The sequence below is a fragment of the Homo sapiens genome, chromosome 4 (genome assembly GCF_000001405.40).
Source record: "Homo sapiens chromosome 4, GRCh38.p14 Primary Assembly".
NCBI classification, from domain to species: Eukaryota; Metazoa; Chordata; class Mammalia; order Primates; family Hominidae; genus Homo; species Homo sapiens.
This window is the reverse complement of record NC_000004.12, coordinates 24,982,586-25,005,750: the sequence shown is the minus strand read 5'-3', so window position 1 is coordinate 25,005,750 and position 23,165 is coordinate 24,982,586. Positions and strand designations below refer to the sequence as shown.

The window sequence follows — 23,165 nt, the reverse complement described above, 5'->3', positions numbered from 1 at the left end:
ATCAAAAGAGCCCAAATGTCTTCAAGAACACTCAGAAATCTTTTTCTCCTGCCTCTGAGACCTCACTCCTGCCTTTTTATCATCCCTTACCCCCCGCAACCCCCCACCACCCCAGGAGAAGCCTGTTTAACTGCCTCCTTCTGCCATATGGAGTCAGGAAATACTTTTTTTTTTTCAAGGATACACATTTTTTAAACTGACAAATTAAAATTGTATCTATTTATTTGTGTATAAAATGTTGTTTTGAAATATGTATACATTGTGGAATGGCTAAATCAAGCTAATTAATGTAGCTTTATTTAAAAACATGATGATAATTCCCTTGGTGCGTTAGTGAGTTTCCTGAATTGTATGCCTGCCTCTGAGGACTCCAGAGGCCCTGAAGACCTCACTCAGCCATTTCTACGGAAGCACATTTTTAAACAACTTAAAAAAATTGTTTTAATTGTGGCAACATACACATAGCACAAAATGTACTGTCTTAACCATGTTTTAGTATACTGGTCAGTGGCATTAGGTACATTCACAGTGTTGTACAACTAACGTCCAAACGCTTTTCATCTTGAAAAACTGAAACTCTGTGCCATTAAATGACAACTCCTCATTTGCCCCATCCCACAGCCCCTGAAAACCACTCTTTGCCTTTCTGTCTCTATGCATCTGACTGCTCTAGGTACCTCATATAAGTGGAATCATATAGTATTCGTCTTTTTGTGACTGGCTATTTCACTTAGCCTAATGCCCTCAAAGTCCATCCATGTTGTAGCATATGTCAGAATTTTCCTCCTTTTAGGGCTGAATAATATTCCATTTTATGTATATGCCACATTTTGTCTATCTATTTGTCCATTGAAGCAACTTGGGTTGCTTCCACCTTTCGGCTATTGTGAAGGATGATGTTATAGGTGTCTTAGTCTGTTTGGGCTGCTGCAACAGAATACCGTAGACTGAGTGGCTTATAAGCAACAGAAATTTATTTCTCATAGTTCTGGGCCTGGGAAGTCCAAGATCAAGACATTGGCAGATTTGGTATGTGGCAAGAACCCACTGCATAGCTGGCCACCTCTTTGCTGTGTCTATGTGGTGAAAGGGCAGAGGGAGTTGGAAGGCACTAATCCCATTCCTGAGGACTCTGCTCCCATGACCTAATCACCTCCCAAAGGCCCCACCACCAAATACCATCACATTGGAGATGAGGTTTCATCATATGCATTTGGAGAGAGCACAAACATTTGGTCTATAGCATTAGGTGTACAGATATCTCTTTGAGTCACTGCTTTCAATTATTTTGGGTATATACAAAGAAGTGGAATTGCTGGCTCATAGGGTAATTCCATGTTTAATTTTTCAAGGAACCACCATACTGTTTTCCATAGTGGCTGTGCCATTTCACACTCCCACCAGCAGTGTATAAGAGTACAAGCGGAGATGCGTTTTTAGCTGTAGTTGCACTAATGTCCTCTCCTTTATTTTGGAGCACAGGTCAGTCCATCGTGGGCTGTAAGGCCATTCTCATCGATGATCAGGTCTTTGTGGTGGTAGCCCAGCTCTTCGGTGGCTCTCACATTTACAAATACGACGAGAGTTGGACCAAATTTGTCAAATTCCAAGACATAGAGGTCTCTCGCATTTCCAAGCCCAATGACATCGAGCTGTTTCAGATCGACGACGAGACGTTCTTTGTCATCGCAGACAGCTCAAAGGCTGGTCTGTCCACAGTTTATAAATGGAACAGCAAAGGATTCTATTCTTACCAGTCACTGCACGAGTGGTTCAGGGACACGGATGCGGAGTTTGTTGATATCGATGGAAAATCGCATCTCATCCTGTCCAGCCGCTCCCAGGTCCCCATCATCCTCCAGTGGAATAAAAGCTCTAAGAAGTTTGTCCCCCATGGTGACATCCCCAACATGGAGGACGTACTGGCTGTGAAGAGCTTCCGAATGCAAAATACCCTCTACCTTTCCCTTACCCGCTTCATCGGGGACTCCCGGGTCATGAGGTGGAACAGTAAGCAGTTTGTGGAGATCCAAGCTCTTCCATCCCGGGGGGCCATGACCCTGCAGCCCTTTTCTTTTAAAGATAATCACTACCTGGCCCTGGGGAGTGACTATACATTCTCTCAGATATACCAGTGGGATAAAGAGAAGCAGCTATTCAAAAAGTTTAAGGAGATTTACGTGCAGGCGCCTCGTTCATTCACAGCTGTCTCCACCGACAGGAGAGATTTCTTTTTTGCATCCAGTTTCAAAGGGAAAACAAAGATTTTTGAACATATAATTGTTGACTTAAGTTTGTGAAGGTGTGGTGGGTGAAACTAAGAGAAATGTAGCATTAGCTCTCACAAAAGAGGACCAAGAAAAATCAACAAACAAATCAAAGCCAGGCTCAGAGCTCTGAAATTAAAAAGCACTGAAATAGTTAGATGTTTTCAAACTTTTAGAACTCACATTTTAATCAGGGATTGCATTTATTGGCTAACTGCATGACATGCCCATTCTACCATTTAAAAAAAAATCTTAAAGCCTGTAATTTCTGAGAAAAGAGTACAGCATTTACTCTTATCATCTAGAAATGTAATATGCTTCCCCCCCGCTTTTTGATGAGGAAGAAGACAATTGGATAAGATGGGACAGCACTTATAATGAAATAAAAAAAAACTTTGAGCCCCTCTCATTCCACTTTAGCAATCTTTTTGGTAAGAACTCTTAAAGCCAAAAGTCTGCTGAAAAGATTTGCTGATTATTAGTTTAAAAATCTTGTAACACTCAGCAGTGCTATTTTGAGTCATCCCAGTTTCCTGAAAGTAATGCCCAGTCTTCCTGAATCCTCCTTAATAGCAGAACCTTGGTGATTTTGTTGGCTCATATGAATGCTTGTCATGGATATGTTAACAATTTAGTGTTTGACATTGCTTCCTCTGCCACAAAGACAATACTCTGGTGACACATGTCTAGACCCAGCACAGGCTGTAGGCCCAGGAGTGACTCAAAGGAGTTTTTCCCTCTTTCTTACGGTTCAAAGGTGACCCTGGTGGTGGCCAGAGCAGTAATGCTTGTTTGATGCTCTTCATGGCTCATCTGCTTCTCAGAACCCACCCGTTGAGTTTGTGGGTAACCAGCAGGCAGGCCAAAGACTGGTGCTTTTCATTTCATCCTTTAGAGGGATGAAACAGTTATTTCCGTCTGATGAGCATTCGGTAGAATTTTTGAAGTGAGATTTTATGAAGTCAAAGGGGACTTTACACAGATCTCGACCTGCTTTGAAACCTAGAGGTGGCCCTTTGATTTGTGCGTGTCCTTGCCCTCTGGACAACTTAATATTTCAAGTAATCGAATACCAACTTCCCTGCCAGCCCACCTGCCTTCCGCCCCGCTTGTGTAACAGTCCTGTTTTGTTGAGTTGCTGCTATTGCACTGCCAGTGCAGCCCACACCAAATCACAACCCAAGATACTCAGATAGGAAGACTCCTTCCTCTCCCAGTACTTTACCAAAGGAACCCCCGCCAGGACCCACATGGGGCCACGTGTTGGCAGTGGAATCAGCCTGTGCAGGCTGGGGATCTCAGGCTGATCAGTAGGGGCCAGCTTTGGAGCCAGCCAAGCTGAATCCCACACTCCAGGTCTGTGCTCAAGAGACCAGATGGTGTATTTCCAAATGGGCCTCTCTGGTATGGGCAATAGGCAAGCTCCTGGGGTCTGGTTATGTGGAAGATTCTTAGTGGATGTTCCGCCTGGTTAGCTGGTTCTCTTCAGAGAATATAAAGTGAATGCCTTTAGGGGTAGCTCTGAAAGAGAAACCCAACAACTTCATTCCTAGCCATGAAAGTAGCACGATCATATTGTACTGTATTGTTATTGTAAAATGACTATTTGCCATGTCATGAGTAGGTAGATGTTTTGCCACAAATATGAATGTGTTTGTTGTTTCCTGACTTTAAGCAATGAAGATTGAGACAATAAATAGCACTCAGAGAATGAAGCATTGATGTTACATCAGCACTCTTGGGTACATTCTGGGACTGTAGGCTGAGGCTTCTAGCCTCAGAAACCACGGATTTTAATGAACGAACTCACCCACGCATAGTAGTGTTGTTACTTGAAACTTCTGCAAAATACCAAGCAAACAGGAGAAAAGTGGTTTGTTTTCATTTTTAAGTGCAAATTACTTTTCTTCTGCACTTTTTTTTCCCTCTTGGTTTCTTTGAACAGGCTACAAATGCCCAGGTCCCCCCATTGGAGGCTGAAAGGGAAAGAGCTTTGCCATTCCTCCAGTCCTAAAGATGGCAAGCTATTCTTTCTGTTGCATGGAACCACTCAGATAAACCTGGGCAGAAAAATGGGTACTTGGCAAACTGTAGGAGATATTTAGACAGTCCCAGCAACTATGCCAGATCAAAGTGATGTTCCCAATTCCAGCCACCTGTAGAGATGGCAAGGTGGCATCTTTTCACAGTGTTGCTACTGCAGAGAGGTATCACATTCCCAGCTGCCCCTCTGAGGGTAAATGAGCGACTGACCCCCTGCACTCACTATTCTGCTCACATTGCCAGATTCTGGGAAACCAGGAAACACAGGATGCTGGGCTTAGGATGGGGAGAGCTGTTGAGTCCAGATGGGGAATTAGGAGGTGAAAGAACGATCTAAACAGGTGATGGGTGGGGTGTGAGAAGGGGGTGACCCACTCAACTGCAATCAGGTTTTCCTTTTTTATAATGTTATTTTATACAAGACTAAAGCCTGTAGTCTACAGAGCGCCTGTGCTGTGGAAGGAGATATTTGTTCTGGCCAACTTACTAAAGGAGCATAGATGTTCTTGGCACGGGGTGGTGATATCTTTGCTTCATTAATCTTACTGCTCCATCCCAAGAATCCCTGAAGTTTTAAACAACTTCTGCAAGAAGCATTCTTCCAGTAATAATGTAAAACAAAAAACCAACCAAGCAACAGCAAAAATGCAAAGCAGAGAAATATGTGGACCGTCCCCAGTGGAGATCAGCTTGAAGGAGGGGGTGGATCTTTCTTCTACTTTCCCTCCCATCACCCACTGGGTGGTCGTCTGCTCAGCTTATTTCTTCTTTATGAACTTTGTGGCGAGGCTCCTGGACTGATCCCTCTGTGCGGCCATGTGGCTTTAAGGCCTTTCCTTAAAGGGGGCTTGTCCCCATACTCCATGGGGTCGGGAATGGGTCTATTATCAAGACTCTAAAAATAACTCTTAGACATGAAGAGCACTGTGTTATTGGACAGTGGATGATAAGGCCACCTTACATTTAGCAAAGCTTTATATTTTTCCAATGCACATTAGTACTCACCTCATTTGTTCATAAATAGCTCTGAAGTTTATTGCAGGGCAGGTATTATTCTAATTTCAGAGAGAAGGAAATAGACATGAAAACTATATGAATTGCCTGCCATGGTTATCCAATAGGGACTGGCAAAGCAATAACTTTCCCTCTGATCAGCAGACATTGTATTTTCTTTCTAAGACACCCTGCTATACTCTCCCAGAGAAAGACTTTCATTTCTAGCATGATTTTGAATTTGGCAGCACCTTGAGATAAAGTAAAAAGTGCAATAAAATATGCATAGCCAGAAGAAAAATCATACTGAATAGACACCATTCAATCAACTGGTCCATTTAACAATTAACAAACATGCAATTGCATGCCCCACTCTTTTTACATTCAAGGCCCCACTCTTGAAAGTGGTCCAGAAATTTTGGATAGTTTTCTGTTGTACTAAGGAGGATATCTAGCTGGTCTGGTTGTTTCTCCCCCTGCATAGCTATGGGGAGGATGTTGAGGTTGAGACACATCTGGTTCTTGTCACATTGTCCACCAGATAAACAAGAAGAGATCTGTGAAGGAAAAATTCAAAACCTGAATGCACGAGTGGTGATGAATTGCTCTCGGCCGTCATCAGCCTTCAGGAAGCACACTGGAAATGGCAGAGTTGCATTTTTTCTTCCCCATGGAGTGAGAGTCTGTGTATTTTTAGGAAAGAAATCAGCATGGGATGCCAGAGGTTTGGCGGTCAGGAGTGCTCATGATGGAAATTTCTCTGGCCTGGGGTATAATGAAGGTGAGATGAAGATCTGCAGGAGGGGAGTCTATTTGCATGCCACCTAAAGAAAACCTCTTAAGCTGGCTTCCTGATTCTTCTGCAGAGGTATCAGCCTCTCCTTCGCAGCTGCGGAAGGAAGTTCTTTAATTAGGCAGCGGCCAAAGATTCTGTTCAACAGCTTCCTGGAGTGGAATACAATAATCTAGTTGTATGCAATGATGCAATTAGAAAGTGGTCCGGATTTGGGTGGCAATGGAAGGGGAATGGCAAAGTGGGGCAGATGGCTCTGGAGGAAACTTGGGAAAGTAAAAACAAACTGAAAGAAAAGGAAAAAAGGATGATGATTTCTTTTGCCTCAGCCAGGCAAGCAGAGGGTAGAATGACCAGGAAGATTAACAACATCTCAATTATTAATGAAGAGAGCCAACTGTAATGCTCATTCAAATAAGAAGCATATTGTAAAGCTACTGAGATCGAAACCAAGTTATTATTATCCTTACTGTATTCCATTGCTTGTATCAAAATCTACTTTTTTTCTAGTAGGAAACTATGCATTCCCTATCAGTCCCTTTGATTATCAGGAATGTATAAGAATTGTGATAAAATAGGCCAATATGCTATTTGGTACCATTTGTATGTATTTTAAGTGCATAACCTAGGTAAAATAAGAATAGTTTCTATGTGTAAAGAAGCAAGTTTTACAGTATGCAGACTACAGTGGATGTATTTTAGGCTGTATACATATTTAGCTCTTTTTGGTAAATAGGGTATACAAACTATATGCCTCTTAATTCAATATATTCGGTAAGCCTATGAATAAAAAGTGGTTCATGCCTAATATGGTTTTGATCTCTGGTCTGCTTAATATGAATATGGCCACTTGAGTCACAGATTTGCAGGGACACCCATGGGCCACTGAGGGACAGCAGTATCTTTGTAGCTCACTCTCTGTTTAGATGGAAGGTAACCACCACAAGGGTCTTTTGCTTCTTCTACTTGGAAACTAAAAAATCACCCAAAAGTCACTAAAAATTCACTGAAGAGCTTCATGGTTACACTCTGCCTGATCTGTGGAATTATAATCCTGACAGATTGACAAAGAACTCTAGGAATATTTGGATATCTTCCAACTCTACAAGGTAAGGAGGAAGTGAGATTGCAAGACTTCGTTGATTGGGTTGAACCATCATGAACTCCTGAGGACAGAGCTTTTGTTTTCTGCATGTCTGGGAGCTAACCTGACCCACAGTAGGCATGCAGTGTTTGCCACGTATATCTTCATCTAAGACCCATCTGGTTTTGTTGGACAAATGAAGGCTCAGAAACCAAATCACATATGACTGTGTACTTATTGTGTGTCAAGTACTTCCATATGCTATCGGGCTTCTGAAAATCTTCAAGAACAGAGTTCTTGCCCTCAAGAGACTTAAAATCTAGTTAAGAGGGAAAATAGTAAGTGCATGATGCTATAGTCAACAATACAAGGTTTAGATAAAATTTTGCATCACAGTCCAAGCACGGTGGCTCAAACCTGTGATCCCAGCAATTTGATAAGCCAAGGTGGGAGGATCACTTGAGCCCAGGAGTTGGAGACCAGCTTGGGCCACAAAGTGAGACTCCATTTCTACAAAAAATAAAAAATAGCTGGGTGTGGTGGCACGCACCTCTAGTCCCAGCTACTCAGGAGGCTGAGGCAGGAGGATCCCTTGAGCCCAGGAGTTTGAGGCTGCAGTGAGCTCTGATCATGTCACTGCACTCCAACCTGGGTGTCAGAGTGAGACTACCATCTCTTAAAAAAAAATGTTCTGCATCACAAAACAGCGTGTGACTAATTGTGCAATGAATGAAGCAGTTAGGTGCAATAACCAAAGATCTCATCACCTTGTCTCTATTCCACTGGTTTGAAGCAGGGCACAGTTTGTGTCCTCAAAGAGAGGAGATTATACAAGAAAATGACTCAGGGGTGCAAGAAGTCACCTTAAGGTCTGTTCACCACAGGCGTCAACCAAACAGTATGAATGCCTACCTGCTCAGAATCGATACTAACCATAAGCAACCATCCACCTGGACCCAAGGCATTCCAGTGGAATATGAGTGTGAATACAGATAATAAATTCATATGAGGAAAGGTTATGTCAGGTCAGGAGAAGTACCCTTTTAATCATTTTGGAGAGAATGGCCTAGTTTCTTTTCATTGTTGTTTTACCATTAAATCATTGTTTTGTGTTTGTAGAGAAATACAGAAAAGAACTAAATTTTTTCAAACCTGCAAGTCAGAAACTCATTAAAGCAGAGACTAATCCTAATATCTCAGTGCATTTCATCTTGGAACTAAAGTGCTCTATATAAATTGCCCAAAGCCAACCATGTACCCATTAGCAAGGCAAGTACACTTATTTTCTCTGTGTCTCAGAGACTAAATTGAGGGCTGAGAAGAATTGGAGGCATAAGTAATGTGTCACTTTCATTGATCTCCTGTCCTTGCAACTGGTTTCTGTACCTGCTTCCCAGACAGGACAACACTTTCCTAACCAGGGTCTAATTGGCACAAATGATTTTTTTTCTGACAAATTGGCAGCAAAGCTGAGATGGAAGGCCTTGGACAAACCTTACCCTCTTGGCCTCTGCTCCAGGCAGCCTCTTGTGGAATGTGAGTTTCTCCCACTCCTGCCTTTAGCCAGACAGCAAACCAAAGCAACACAGGGGAAAAGAGGCCAGCAGTCATGGAAAGGCTACCCCAGAATCTCCAGCACCTGCTGGAATCTCTATGTGGGCCCCAAAGAGCATGCTCCTGCACACACCTCTGGGTGTCTACCCCAGAAATCCACACAAAGAGATAAAATCCAGCTAAGTTTTCTTCCTCTTCCAAGAAACAATTGTTGTGGAAGGAGAAATAAGTCTAGATCTCTGTGCCTTACCTCACACCATCCATCACCCACAGAAATGATGCAGGGTCCTGATGAGCACCTCCAGTTTTGGAGCTAAGAGATTTAAGGTGGTGCGGCCAGCCCATCAGTTCTGCCACCTCCCTGTTTGGTTCCAAGGTGGTGTGGGCTGCAGAGCCTATGGAAGTAGGGTTGGGACCTCAGAGGAAGTGACACTTTTGATGCTTGTCCCGGGCCCCAGCTCAACTCTCTGCTCACCGTGGTGTGACTCTCTCCTCGTCTCCTGCTTTTATTTCTCTTAACCTGTCAAAGAATTCAGGACACATTGTCACTTACAAATATTTTTATTTCTAGTTTACATCATTTTCCTGCCTCTTTGGATTATAGCGTCTTGGCTTATAAATCATATGGAAATCCAAATAAACTTTTTGCTTGAGTCTTTCTCACTAATTTTGACTACCTACTATGTGAACAGTGCTGTATACAAAAGTCTTAAGAAAGATACAAAAGCGTTCAAGAATCTTTTAAAATAGCGTTTTCTTGCCAGTTTGCATAGGGTGGGAATTCACAGGGAGTGTGAATGTAACCTGAATAAATAATATGACCCATGTGATCCAGTCTCTCCACAGTGTAATACTTAATGAAACAGCCTCCAAACCAAATAGTCATACTATTAATTCTGATCTTTACGGTACCCCTGAAAGAAGAGGAAAGCCTGTTCATAACCATCCAAACGCTGCCTCTGAAATCAAGTCTCCCACAAGCCTCTTGCTCTTTCACTGCCCACTTCAGTGCCAATCTCTTTTCTCCACTCTTCCGCAAAGCTCACCTTTACATCACCATTTCATCCACTGGCCAGCTCTCTTCCATATTTATCCATATCAGTTTTCCTGGGCAGACAATAGAGAGAAAGGAGCTCTAAATGTTCCAACAATCATGTATTTTATTCTTGCTGTTGTAAATTCAATAGGTTTTAATATTCTTCTGCTCTGCTTCTGTCTTTCTGCACCATGTGACCTGCAGTGGTTTTGAAATATACTTGCAAATTATTTGGTGCCCCTCCCTTCAAGAGGTGGAGCCTGGTTTCCCTCCCGTGGAGTATGAGCTTTGCTTAGGGACTTGCTTCTAAGGAGTAGAATGTGGCAAAAGTGTTGGTGTATGACGTCCCAGAATAGGTCTTGGACTGCTCACTTGGAGGGAGGCCAGCCACCATGCTCTGAACATACTCAAGCAGCCTGTTGAGGGGCCCATGTGGGAGACATTGAGTTCTTCTGCCAGCAGTCTGCACCATGGGAGTGAACCAACTTGGAGGTGGATCTGTCAGCCCCAGTCAAGCCTTCAGATGATCACAGACCTGGCCAATGTCTTGACTGCAACTTCCTGAGAAACTTACACCACTCCTGGATTCCTGATTCATGGAAACTATGTGAGACAATAAGCATTTGTTGTTTTAAGCTGCTGTGTTTTGGAGTAATTTGTTTTGCAGTAATGAGTAACTAACACACCACCATTTTTATTGGCTTATAGGAATGAGGTTGCTGCCAAATGGGTCTATTAATTTAAGAAAGAACCAACACATCCACATACCACACTATGACGTGTCACCACACACACATACACACTGTTTAAGAGAGAGACGTCATTTCCACAACACACATACTGTTTAAGGGAGAGAAGTCATTTCCACAAATAATTTGTGCACCCAGGTGAGTAAACAGTTGTACTGAAATTAAAAAGAAGAAACGATCAATTTAGCTAAAAAATCCAGGGAGATTTCTTGAAGGCATTTCAGCAGAGTCTTGACTGGGAATTGAATGTTGAAGAGGAATGTAGTCACTTTAACTTCCTTAACCATGGCCGAGAAGACTTCTTAGTGACAATAAGGTCTCCTAAGCTGCGTTTGGTGGGTTGTGGCCTGACCCCGAGGGAGATGACGATGCTCTGAAGACTATCCATGATATCTCAGAGACATCTTTGTCACCTCTTGGGGTTTGGGATGGCCCTGTCACAAGCCCCGATTCTCTGCCTGAGTACTGCAGCCCTTGAGAAGTAGGGAATATGCCAGAATAGCACCCTTTATGACTGATAAGGGTTACATTGGAGACCACAGCTTATTATCTGCATGTAGATGGGTTTCCTAACACCGACCCCCGAAACACACATTTCGACATACCTGGTCACATATTTGCAGTGTGGAGGAGCAGATGAACATTTGCACTTGGCAGGCAGACCAGAGGGAGAGAGTGAGATTGGTTTTAGCGTGTTCAGTTTCTGGTCCTAATTCACCTCATTGCACCTATAGCACCTCACTGGGACTGGAGAGTGAGGCCTGCAGACTTGTGCCAGGAGTACTGTGCTCCCGGACTCCCTCCACAGGGAAGGAAACATCAGGAGTAGGAATCAAGCCTTTTCTCTAATGTCAACTATTCAGGACAAGGCAACCCTTCTTATCCTTGAGTGCATCTGGGGAGCTCGGGCTCCCTGTTCCCTAACTCTGTCTGCAAGTTATGCACAGAGACCAGGACAATATATTTTTAACCACTTGGAAAAGATCTTTCTGGTATGAAACAGACCAGAAAAAGGAAATTTGGCAGCACCAAGAGAGGATCTTTCTGTAGTGCAGGTGATGAGAAAGGACTTGATGTTGTTCAGCAAAGCTCTGTTCTCTGCACACTCCCTTTTAGGTTTTTTATTTGCTGTTTTGTCAGCTTTTCACATTGAATAGCACTAACTATAGCGAAATATAATGTCATTCTGGGGTCCTGAAAAAGGAAGCAGGTCAACTTTACATTTCTTTCATTAACATAGAAAGTCAGGAGAATTTTCTGGTATTTCATATTTTCAGCAAAGTGGAGTATCTGCTCTACTTACTAAAAATGACACTCCAACCCCCCATTTCCATCTGCATTTACGTTCTGCACATATTGCTGAAGTAGCTTTTTCTTCCTTATGTTTACTGCCAATGCATTTGCATTTTCTGTCGCAATAAATAACCCAGTAAAACCCTCCGATGGTAGGTTCTAGCCTGGCTCTTTCTAAGCATGGAATCATAGACAATGATTTATAGTCATGCTGGCCCAGAGGATGGAAAAAAATGGACATTTGTAAAGGAAAAATAAGTGAGTTCAAACAAACGCTAGCTGAGCTGTGAGAAAATTAAAGATGTGAAATTAACATGAAATTTTCTATGACCATTAAAGTCATGGGTTGGGGTGGGAGGCAAGGCAGGAGGAAGCTCTCATTCCAGAGGCTGTGTCTGTGGGGGTCACCACTGTTTTCCCAGCATGCCTAGTCCCAAAGTGTACCTCAATTAATATTTTCTAAAAGGATGCTGATTAAATGACTGGTTGACATTTGCAGGGTACCAGGCACCAGGCAGAGTGTTACATACCTTAACTCATTTATTCTCAGGACTCTTCACAAAGCAGCCACTTTCATATCCCCATTTTACAGATGTGGAAATGGAGGCACAAAGAGGTTGAGAGCTTCCCCGGGTCACACAGCTGAAGAGTGGCAAAGCCAGGAAAACAGGGCCCAGAGTGGTTAGGCAACTCCCTCAAGTTTGCACAGCCAATAAGACCTGAAACAGAGAAAACAATAATCATATCTAACCCTTCTTTAGCCCTAGCCCAGTGCCAGGTGCTATTCTAAAGGCTTTATAGCTATTATCTCAGTTGGTCCTCACAAATTCTGTGAGGCAGGTCCAATCATTATCCCCATTTTACAAATGAATCAACAGAGGCACAGAGAAGTTAAGGAACTTGTCTGGAGTCACACAGCCAGCAGGAAGAGGAGCTTGGGTTTAAACCCAGGAAACTCTGGCACCAGAAGCTGTGCCCTTATCCACTGGGCTACCCTCCATTTTTAATCCATAAATATGCAAAAAGCCTCAGCATTGTAAGTGCCAAGTGCTGATCCAGATGTGTTTGACTCTAGAGCCCATGTTTTGTTCTGTAATCCCATTTCAAGGAGAGCATGTGGATGTGGCAGTGGGGTGAGGGGTGAGGGGACACAAGAGGGTGAGGGGGTCTATTTTGCTGCGTGGGTCATATGAGAAGCTGGATAGGCCATTCTTCATGAAGGGCTGTCTAATCCCAGCCTTTTTCTTTTCTTTTTGAGACAGAGTTTCGCTCTTGTTGCCCAAGCTGGAGTGCAATGGCACGATCTTGGCTCACTGCAACCTCCGCCTCCTGAGTTCAAGCGATTCTCCAGCTATTTTTTTTTTATTTTTTATTTTTTTTTATTTTTAGTAGAGATGGGGTTTCACTATGTTGGCCAGGCTGGTCTCAAACTCCTGACCTCAGGCAATCTACCCGCCTCAGCCCCCCAAAGTGCTGGGATTACAGGTGTGAGCCACCGCACCTGGCTCTAAGCCCAGCCTTTTCTGCTGACCACCCACTTACCCGTGAGTAGCCAGTAGTCACTGATGTGGAGCCCTCTTGTGTGCCACCAGCCAGCCACCCTCTCTGGAGCTTAGGACATGGTGGGGGGCGGTGGGACAAGGCCTGAGTCTGGGAATAGTTTAGGGGGCTTGAAATCCTTTGGAGCCTCTTACTCCAACCCCCTTGTGTTCTAGGTAGGAAGTGGAGACCCAGAGATGACGTGTCTTGCCTAAGGGAGGGAGAGCTAGCACTTTCCTGTGTGTGCTTTGTTTTCACAGTGGAAGATGATGAACATGGTACCACCTTGGAATCTGCAGCTTGAATCTTCTGAGTCTCAAGTAATCAAGATTGTAAAAGCCCATGACCTTGTGATTTACAGAAGCACAACTAGGAGACCTGTGAGGCTGTGGCTTCTTGAACGGGGATGGGCTAGCGCGTTTGAACACCTCCATCTCCCCTTGGGGGTCCTGTTCTCTACACAGTAGAAACGGTAAAGTGAGAGCTGTGCACCTTATGAAGGTGACACAAAGGTTGAGTTTATGGCAGACTCTGTGTTCATTGCTATACCTGCACTTTCCTGCACTTATGCCTGTAATCCCAGCACTTTGCGAGGCTGAGGCGGGCAGATCACGAGGTCAAGAGATGGAGACTATCCTTGTCAACATGGTGAAACCCTGTCTCTACTAAAAATACAAAAATTAGCTGGGTGTGCTGGTGCCCAGCTATATGTTATGCACTGTGCCAAGCAGTGAGTATTCAGTGTTTAACAAAAAGGACACAGTTCCTTCTCATGTGAAGCTATTTACCGTGATACTAAGACATTAAGTGGTTCCTCAAAGCCTTTGGTCATATCTAAATGTGACTGGCCTATATAGTGATCTGTAAGTTTTTAAAGGGTCAACTTTTGATAAGCCAAACAAAGTCATAAACTTTCTCAGCAAAAAAATTAAAAATGTATTTGCATTTAAAGATATATCTACAGTCTGACCACATCCACTCTGGCCCAAGTCACCATGGTTTCCCACCTTGATTATTGTTGTGGCCGCCACACTAGGGCCCCTGCTGCCTCCCTGACTCCTCCTTGTCTGTTTTCCACTTAGTGGCTGGAGGCATCCTGTTAAAGTGTGAGTCAGATCAGGCGGTTCAGGAAAAGTCAGGGCTTCCCATCATTCATAGAGCAAGAGCCAAATTTCTACAATAGCTTACAAGAACATAAACTACTCTTTCTGTCTTTGTTTCTCTGACACAACACACACACACACACACACACACACACATCCTTTCTGACCTCATCTCCTAAACTATTTCCTCTGCTTGCTTGGCTCTAGCCACTCCAGCCTTGTCCTTGCTATTCCTTGAATGTTCCTTAGGCATAGAAGAGCGAAAGACAGAAAGAACCTGGATCCCGAATGACCACATGGAGCAGAGCTGCCCCACCAATCCGGATGGTCACCTTTAGACTGTTAAAAGGAGAGAGAAATATATGTCTGTCTTTTTTTTGAGATGGAGTCTTGCTGTGTCACCCAGGCTGGAGTGCAGTGGTGCAATATCTTGGTTCGCTACAACCTCTGCCTCCTGGGTTCAAGTGATTCTCCTGCCTCAGCCTCCCAAATAGCTGGGACTGCAGGCACGTGCCACCACGCCCAGCTAATTTTTTTATTTTTAGTAGAGATGGGGTTTCACCATGTTGACCAGGATGGTCTCCATCTTTTGACCTCATGATCCATCTGACTTGGCCTCCCAAAGTGCTGGGATTACAGGTGTAAGCCACCACACCTGGCCACTTCTGTCTTATTTAAGGCAATATATTTTGGGATCTCTTTGTCATTGTGTAGTCTATATTCAACCCAAAGGATGGCAAACAAAGGCTCTTGAGCCAAATCTGTCTCTCCGTATGCTTTGTAAATAAAGTTTTATTGGAATTCAGTATTGCACATCCACTTATCTATCATCTGTGGCTGCTTTTGTGCTTCAGTGGCAGAGTTGAGCAGGTACAATAGAGATTCTAGGACTCCAAGGCCTAAAATATTTATTCTCTAGCTTTTCATAGAAAATATTTGCTGGCTTCTCTTCTAAACGATATAAATCTGTTATTATTATTTTTCATGTGAAGAAAATGAAGCCCTGAAAGGCTAAGTAAGCAAGAGTCAAACAGCAAGTGAGTAGCTCAGCTGGGTTCAAACCCAGAACTGTCAGACTTTCCTATTCAGAGCAAATAGTGTCTTAGATATACCAGACTAGGAAATGAAGTCAAGCCATACATTTACTCACACTCCACTCAAACATGCAAAAAAGTAAGCTTCTGTATTTTTTGTCTAACTGACCTAATTTTTTTCTGGACCCCCTAGCACTGGATAGTAAGTAAACCAGGCATAGACCAACCCAGTAATGTCAATCTAATCTAACAATTTCAGTAGTCCTATTAGACCATTCAGGCTGTTTTGAGTTAAATAGTCAGTTTTTCAGATTTCCACCATCTTCAGCTTCTCTTGCAAGAGAACTTTTAGGGTCCTTGTGGCAGTGGGGATAGGGTGGGATGGGGAAGGGTTTTTACGTGCGTATAGTATCTTCTGGACACACTCCGTCTTCTGCCCTGTTCTGATTTGGTCTCCGACCTCAGGACCACTGAGGTCTGGTTGATCCTATCTAATCTTGCTGAGTAACTTTGGCCAGGAACTTCTCATCTGAAAAGTGGGGATCATAATAGTGCTTACCTCCCAAGGCTAATTCAAAAATTAAATATGAGATAATAAATGGAAAGCACTTAGACAAGCCTGACATTTAATAAGTATTCAATATGGGTCAATATCATTGTTGTTGGCCAGGACCCATCACTGGATCTTGGCCATTTGCTCTCGTCGTAGGAAATGACTGAGTGGACTCTGTCCCCTGGCAGGACGCTCTGCCAACCCTTTCAGCCCCTCCAGGTCTCCTCAGCAGGGCATGTAAATGAGATCCTATGCAGCCAAAAGTGCTGCGTCTGCCATAGTCATTGCCCCTACATTGTGTCATGTTGAAAGGGGCTGCTTAGTGGGCTTATCCTGGACATTCTGCACATCCATCTGGGACTCACAGGGAAGCATGTCTCTGGCTCTGCAGAGTTTCTGGCCCTCCCCTTCCCTCTGGAACACACCCCCCACATCCAGAGCCTTGGCCATTCTTTCTCTGCTTTCTCAGCCTGGCTCCTCTTCCTCTCACAATCTCTTGGACTGGAAGGAATAGACTTCTCATTTCCTTGTCATACCATGGCTTCTTTCTCCTCTGTCTCATAGTAAAACTCTACGATCTAGGCAGCCAGGCTCTAATGTAGTAATGAGAGGAAGGGAGTTTAGAAAATCCTCTGTTGACAGTGCCCAGCTATCAAGACCATTGTCTTGTTAAAGAGGTCAAGGAAGGCAGCCTAGAGACTCCAGCTGGTTAATGGCCTCTTTCTTCTGGGTAGAACTTGCCCTTTTCTTCCCTGGGGCAACTGGGAATGATTATCCCCACTGGAGAAGCATTCTGGCAGATCCACTAGGTGGGGATGTTGTAGAAGGGAACTGAGTAGCAGATGTCTGGCCTAAATGTCCTCCAAGGTCCTTCCTAGCTGAGGGCACATGAGCCAGTGTTATGACTTATGGAGAGCCAAGGGTGCTTCTGGCTTTCTAGCCTGGGGACAGGACTCTGAACTCTGGTTTTTCTATTACCCCCAGGAATACTGCAGGTCCAGTCTAGGGGCTTCTAAGTGCAGGTACAGCCCTGAGAAGTGGCTGAATGCCCCTGTTTCAGGGCCTACTTCACAAGGTGCTGAGATACACACTTTCAGTTGGCTAGTCATGCTTATGCTTTCCCAGGTTGGAACCTGGAAACAGCCAGCAGGTGCAAAGGTGGGGTGAAGAAAAATCTATACAAATAAATAAATGTTTCTATCTATTAGGGCATCATGTAAAAATGCCCAAATGAACAGTCATCAAACATGGAGGGAATGTTAGAAAAAGCCTGTTTTACATTCTGTGCTGGTATTGTGCACTTTGGGGGCTCCTCAAAGGGACAGGCAGAGGCAGACATCCTTCAGAGAGGTTCTGAAGCCCATGTGAAGACCAGTTGGAGGAAACATGCCAAGTTGATTAAGCTGATGTAGATGCAGAAAGCCAGCTGCAGTTTCAAATATGAGCTACAAATTAAAATTCAATTATGCAGGTGTCACAGGCTGTATTTTCCAAATTTGGCCCCAGCAACACCTCCCATCCCAGTGCTTAAATCTGGGTGGGCTTGTGGCTCATTTGTAACCAATAAGATGCAACAAAAGTGGTGCTATGACTTCCTAAGCTGGGTTATTACAGATGAATTAGGTCTTTTTGTGGCATGACAAATGACCACAAACTTAGTGGCTCACCAAAACATTAGTATATCACACTCTCTGTGGGTCAGAAATCTGGGTATAGCTTAGCTGCATTCTCTGCTCAGGATCTCCCAAGGACAGAATCCAGGTGTGGTCTTGGCTGTGTTCTTATCTGAAGGCTCAACTAGGGAAGAAGCCATTTTCATGTTCCCTCAGGTTTTGGCCGGAATTTATTTCCTTATGACTGTGGAATTTGTGGCAGCTGATTTCTTCAAGACAAGTGTATTATTTTTCTAGGGCTTCCATAACAAAATGTCACAGTTTTGGGGTGGCTTAAACAACAGACATTTATTTTCTCACAGTTCCAGAGGCTAGAAATCTGAGATCAAAGTGTTGGCAGATTCAGTTCTTTTGTAAGCCTGTCTCCCTGGCTTACAGATGGGTGTTTTCTCGCTATGTCCTCACATGGTCTTTCCTCTGTGTGCACACATCCCTGGTGTCTCTCCATCTTCTTTGTTATAAGGACACCAATCAGATTGGATTAAGATCCACTCTGACAGTCTCCTTTTAACATAATCACCACTTTTAAAGTCCTATCTCCAAACACAGTCATATTCTGAGGTACTGGAGGTTAGGTCTTCAACATATGAATTTGGTGGTGGTGGCGGAGCAATCCAGCCCATAATAGCAAGCAATGGAGACAGAGAGAGAGAGAGAGAGAGAGAGAGAGAGAGAGAGAGATTGAATTTCTGCTGCTTGGATTCTTTCACTACAGGGAAGATCTAGATCTTCTTTTGAGGCCATATGATTAGCTCAGGCCCGTTCAGGATTATCTCCCTTTTGATTAACTCACATTAACTGATTAGGGGCCTTAATTACACCTGTGATCCCCTTACACCACTGCCATATCACATACACATAATCACAAGTGTGACATCCCATTCCCTTGCCATATTTGATTGGTTAGAATCGAGTCACAGTTCCTGCCAACCTCAAGGTGAGGCAGTTATATAGAGTGCAGATTCTAAGGGGAGAAATCATGGGGGCCTCCCTAGGGAGTGTCTACCACAAAAGGTGTTGCAACCTCAGTTTTCTTTCCTGGAGCACTCGCCTGGAGCTCTGTGCTACCCATGTCAGTGGTCTTACTGTCCTGAGGCCTCTGTGATGTGAGGAAGCCCAACGTAGCCCATACAGAGACCTCAAGGAGGGGCCCTGAGACTAAATGAAGAGAGAGGGAGATTCCTGGGCAGCCTCTACTGCTCCAGCTATGGTCTGACCATGGAGCCTGAGAGACTTAAAGCCAACCTGCCAAGGTCTTCCCAAATTACTGGCCAATAGAAACAATGAGAGCTAATGAAATAACTATGGTTTTAAGCCACTGCTTTTTGGGGTCATTCATTATGCAGCAATAGTAACCAGAACAGCAGGCATTCCAAGTGGGACGTCACTCCTTGTATTGATAACTCTATGGGACGAGCATCATAGGGAATTTACTTAGCAGCCTCTCCTGCCTCCTACCACCCATATTCCCTAACCCCTTACTTGTTTATTTTTCTCCACTGCTCTTACCTCTCCCTGGCATACTATATGTTTAGTTGCTTGTTTGCTTACTGTCTGTTCCCCATCACCACCACCTCCCAAAATGTAAACTCTACAATGGAGAATTCTGCCTCTTTTTTCATCACCTGGCAGGTGTGGCTCCTCAGTAAAAACTTTAGTATTTCAGCTGTTGGTGGCCGGGCTAACAGCTGGAGGGAGGCCAGAACAAGATAACAAGTGTCCTGAAAAGGTCAGAAGATCAGAAAATCATATAGAAGGCCGGGCGCGGTGGCTCACGCCTGTAATCCCAGCACTTTGGGAGGCCGAGGCGGGCGGATCACGAGGTCAGGAGATCGAGACCATCCCGGCTAACACGGTGAAACCCCGTCTCTACTAAAAATACAAAAAATTAGCCGGGCGAGGTGGCAGGTGCCTGTAGTCCCAGCTACTCGGGAGGCTGAGGCAGGAGAATGGCGTGAACCCCAGGGGGTGGAGCCTGCAGTGAGCCGAGATCTCGCCACTGCACTCCAGCCTGGGCGACAGCGAGACTCCGTCTCAAAAAAAAAAAAAAAAAAAAAAGAAAATCATATAGAAATCAATCTGGAAGGGTCCTTAGAGAGCGTACAGTTCAATGCCACACCATCCTTGAGAAAATGGATGCCTAGAAAAAAAGGACTCAAATGATACAGGAGGCTAATGGTAGAGCTGGTTACTCCAACCAGGTCCTCTGACCCTCCTTCTAGGGTTCTTGCCACGAAGTCACTTTCATAGGGATTCCATGCAAAGGGGTCAGTGTCTTTGATTGCTCCCTTGGTTTTCTGGTAGAGTTCTGCTGGGACGTTTTAATTATTTTTAAGATTATTTCCTTTTCATTTATCTATCAAAATTCAATTATGGCATTACATTGTGTGGAGGTAGGTTATGTCATATTGTAAATGTATTTCATTTCAGAAGATTAGGGGGTCATCTTAGCCTGGGATCCCAGGAAAGCAGGGCCTTATGCAAAGGCTTTGTTGCATGGGGTTGACTATTGGAGAGGAGGATCCACGGGAGCTGGAGTGAGAAACAGGAGGAGGAACAAGTTGGCCTGTGCTACAGGGGCTGCTGCCTCAGCATCCCACTGGGATCTTCTAAGTGGCTGTATTTGATGTATTTCGGAGCTGCAGGCAAGGGGATGAAAAGGGAAGCATTTATCCATTAGTGTTCATCCCCCACTGGCCAGGGGTGGCCTTGCAGGCATTTACTTTCCCCCTTTTCTGGGTTAGGCAGGCTCTAGGGGTGCCCCATATGACAGCATCAGGATGCATGTTCACCCAAGACAGGAGGACAGAGGTGTGTGGTGAATCCCAGTAAATATGTCCAGTTGCACCTGCACAAAGCTGGTCAAAGTCAGCCTGGAACTGGTCACTGCAGTAGTGGCTGGAATAAGAGGTGAGGCCCAGAAGATTTTAAGGAGTATTCAGGAAAGGTCTGTCTAATCCCCAAACCTCACAGTGCAGACAAGTGTCAGTGCTTTAGAAGGAACCGTCTGGGAGCTTCTGCTATGAGCCTGTGGCGTTTCTGGCTAATCACATGACCTGGATTTCTCACCTTAGAATCCTGTAGGAAATTCCATCTGCAGCATCAAAGTTACAGGGGAAGTTCAAATGCCTTTATATTTGGAAAGAACTGAAACAAAAATCTCACTTCTGGGAATTCTTGGCTCCTTAAGGTCTCCCACTTCCTGATGCTGCAGCGGGTGTCCAATTTGTCCTCACATGGGCCCTGAGTACATGGAGGTTAGTAAAGGGGGTGCAGGGAGCTTAGCCTGCCAGGGAGGATGCTGTGAGAAAATTAGCTGCGCTGACATGGAACAGCCATCATTCACTGAAAACATACTAGTTTCAGACACTTGGCAAAGCACATAAAAGACATTTTCTCATTTACTTCTCACTGCAAATATTTGTGATAAATAGTATTCTCAATTTATAGAGAAGCAAGACTGGCTACATAACTTACATGTCCTGGGACAAAATGAAAATGCAGGGCTCCTTGTTAAAAATTATTACAAATTTTAAGATGGTAGCAGCAAAGCATGAAACTAAGTAGGGAACATTGCCAAGTGGGGGAGACCCTAAGTGTCTGCACAGTTCACAGACTCTTTAACCCTGGAGAGGAGGAAACCAAAGCTCAGAGACCTTAAGTAACCTCCCTAAGATCACACACAGCGGGTAAGTATTAGTGCCACGATTTGAATCCAGGTGGTCTCACTTCTACATAAACATTCTTGGGCTGAAGCAGAGGGGTGTGCTGGGAAGTACACTCCATCCAGAGGCAGATGACTGGCATTCCAGCAACTCCTCACTCGTTGTGTTTCCCTACCCAGGTTTGGTCTACCCAGATTCCTCGCAAGCAACTTGAATTCAAAAAGTGATTGTCAATACACCCTGTAAACCCAGCACTGCAGCAGCCTCCAGAGACAGAGGTAAGTGGGGATAATAAGAGTTGTCTTGCATTTTGCCAATGGCACAGATTACAATGCCCTTCCAACGTAAGGAAGTGCCTGATCTCAGAGCAGTGTTTCCTGCTGAGAAGTTAAGGATTCATGTGTCTTTTCCTGGGGAATAGGATTTTAATAAGACACTGTTGAGGAGCAGGGCCTTTACTAACTCCCAGCTGCAGCCATTAGTGCTCTAGGTTGCAGGCAATTGATGCTGGCTTGGGCTGGCTAAGCAGACAAGGAGTTTATTAAAAGGCTATTGGGGCTAAACACTAGATCCTCTTCTCCAGTTTCTCGGAATCGAATACTGACTGGCAGAGCCTCATGCCATGAGGGACTTGGCCATTGGTGGTTTCTGAGTTCTGCCATGTGGAGGCCCAACTCTTAACGTCAGAATTTCCCCAAACTTAGCTAAGATGCTCAAATGCTTGAGACAGACTGAAAAGCAAAAACATCCAGTGCATTGACTTCAAAACGAAACCATAATGATCAGTGAGGCTCATGTTCAACTCTTGTAACAGAAATCCGACTACTGTGGCCTAACCAAACGAGGTGTTTATTCTGCTCACATAATGAAGAGTCCTACTTAAGGAACTAGACTCCTCCCTCCTTTCACCATTCCTATAATATGACTGTCAACCTCATGGTCCCAAAGAGGCTGCTCTACCTTCAGACATTGTGTCTGCTTTCCAAGCAGCAAAAGGAGGGAAGGGCAAAGGGCAAAAGGCACATGTCAGCCAAGTCTTTTTCTCATGTTAACAACAGCTTCCCCAGATGGCCCACCCAGTTGACTTCCATTTATGCTTTTTGACAAAAACTAGGTTACATGGGATCTAAGGAGCAGAGTATTTGAACACAAGACCATCACAAATACAATCAGGATTTTGCTAGTATAGAAGAAACAGAAACGAATATTGGCTGGGCTGGCCGAGCAGTGTCCCCCACAGTCACTCTGACACCATTTTGGCTCAAAAGCCCTTGCCAGCATCCCACTGTCCATTCCAGCACTGTCTAATAAAAATAGAACACAAACCACAAATGCAAGCTCTGGCTGTCCTTTAACATTCTCTAGTAGCCACATCAAAAAAGCAACAAGAGGCAGGGTGCAGTGGCTCACGCCTGTAATCCCAGCACTTTGGGAGGCCAAGGCAGGTGGATCACCTGAGGTCAGGAGTTCAAGACCAGCCTGGCCAACATGGGGAAACCCCCATCTCTACAAAAATACAAAAATTAGCCAGGCATGATGGCAGGTGCCTGTAATCCCAGCTCTCAGGAGGCTGAGGCAGGAGAATCGCTTGAACCTGGGAGGCAGAGGTTGCAGTAAGCTGAGATCACGCCACTGCACTCCAGCCTGGGCAACAGAGTGAGACTCCCTCTCAAAAAAAAAAAAAAGAAAAAAGAAAAAAGCAACAAGAATCAGGTGAAATGAATTTAAATACCTCATTTACTCTAATCTATCCAAAATATTATCATCTCATCATGTAATCAATCTT

At 44.3% G+C, this 23,165-nt stretch overlaps 1 protein-coding gene and 1 long non-coding RNA gene across 8 annotated transcripts in view; one reads left to right on the top strand and one right to left on the bottom strand.

Moving 5' to 3' along the window:
- Positions 1 to 13,670, top strand: part of LGI2 (leucine rich repeat LGI family member 2) — a 38,866-nt gene extending 25,196 nt beyond the window's left edge. The window contains exon 8 of one of the 2 annotated variants that reach the window (XM_017008356.2): positions 13,612 to 13,670. In XM_017008356.2, the coding sequence (XP_016863845.1) occupies positions 13,612 to 13,655 (44 nt within the window). In that variant the 3' untranslated portion in view covers positions 13,656 to 13,670. Of the gene's footprint in view, positions 1 to 1,482; positions 6,905 to 13,611 lie in introns of those variants that run through there. The other variant, NM_018176.4, reaches the window with a different exon arrangement.
- Positions 1 to 23,165, bottom strand: part of LOC102723675 (uncharacterized) — a 52,704-nt gene that overhangs the window by 21,153 nt on the left and 8,386 nt on the right. For 3 of the 6 annotated variants that reach the window (XR_007058081.1, XR_001741624.2, XR_007058080.1), the window contains 2 exons: positions 12,343 to 12,531; positions 9,280 to 10,373 (listed from right to left, as the gene is read on the bottom strand). This is a non-coding gene — a long non-coding RNA (uncharacterized LOC102723675). Of the gene's footprint in view, positions 1 to 5,319; positions 9,255 to 9,279; positions 10,374 to 12,342; positions 12,532 to 23,165 lie in introns of those variants that run through there. The other 3 variants (XR_001741623.3, XR_001741620.3, XR_007058082.1) reach the window with 2 other exon arrangements.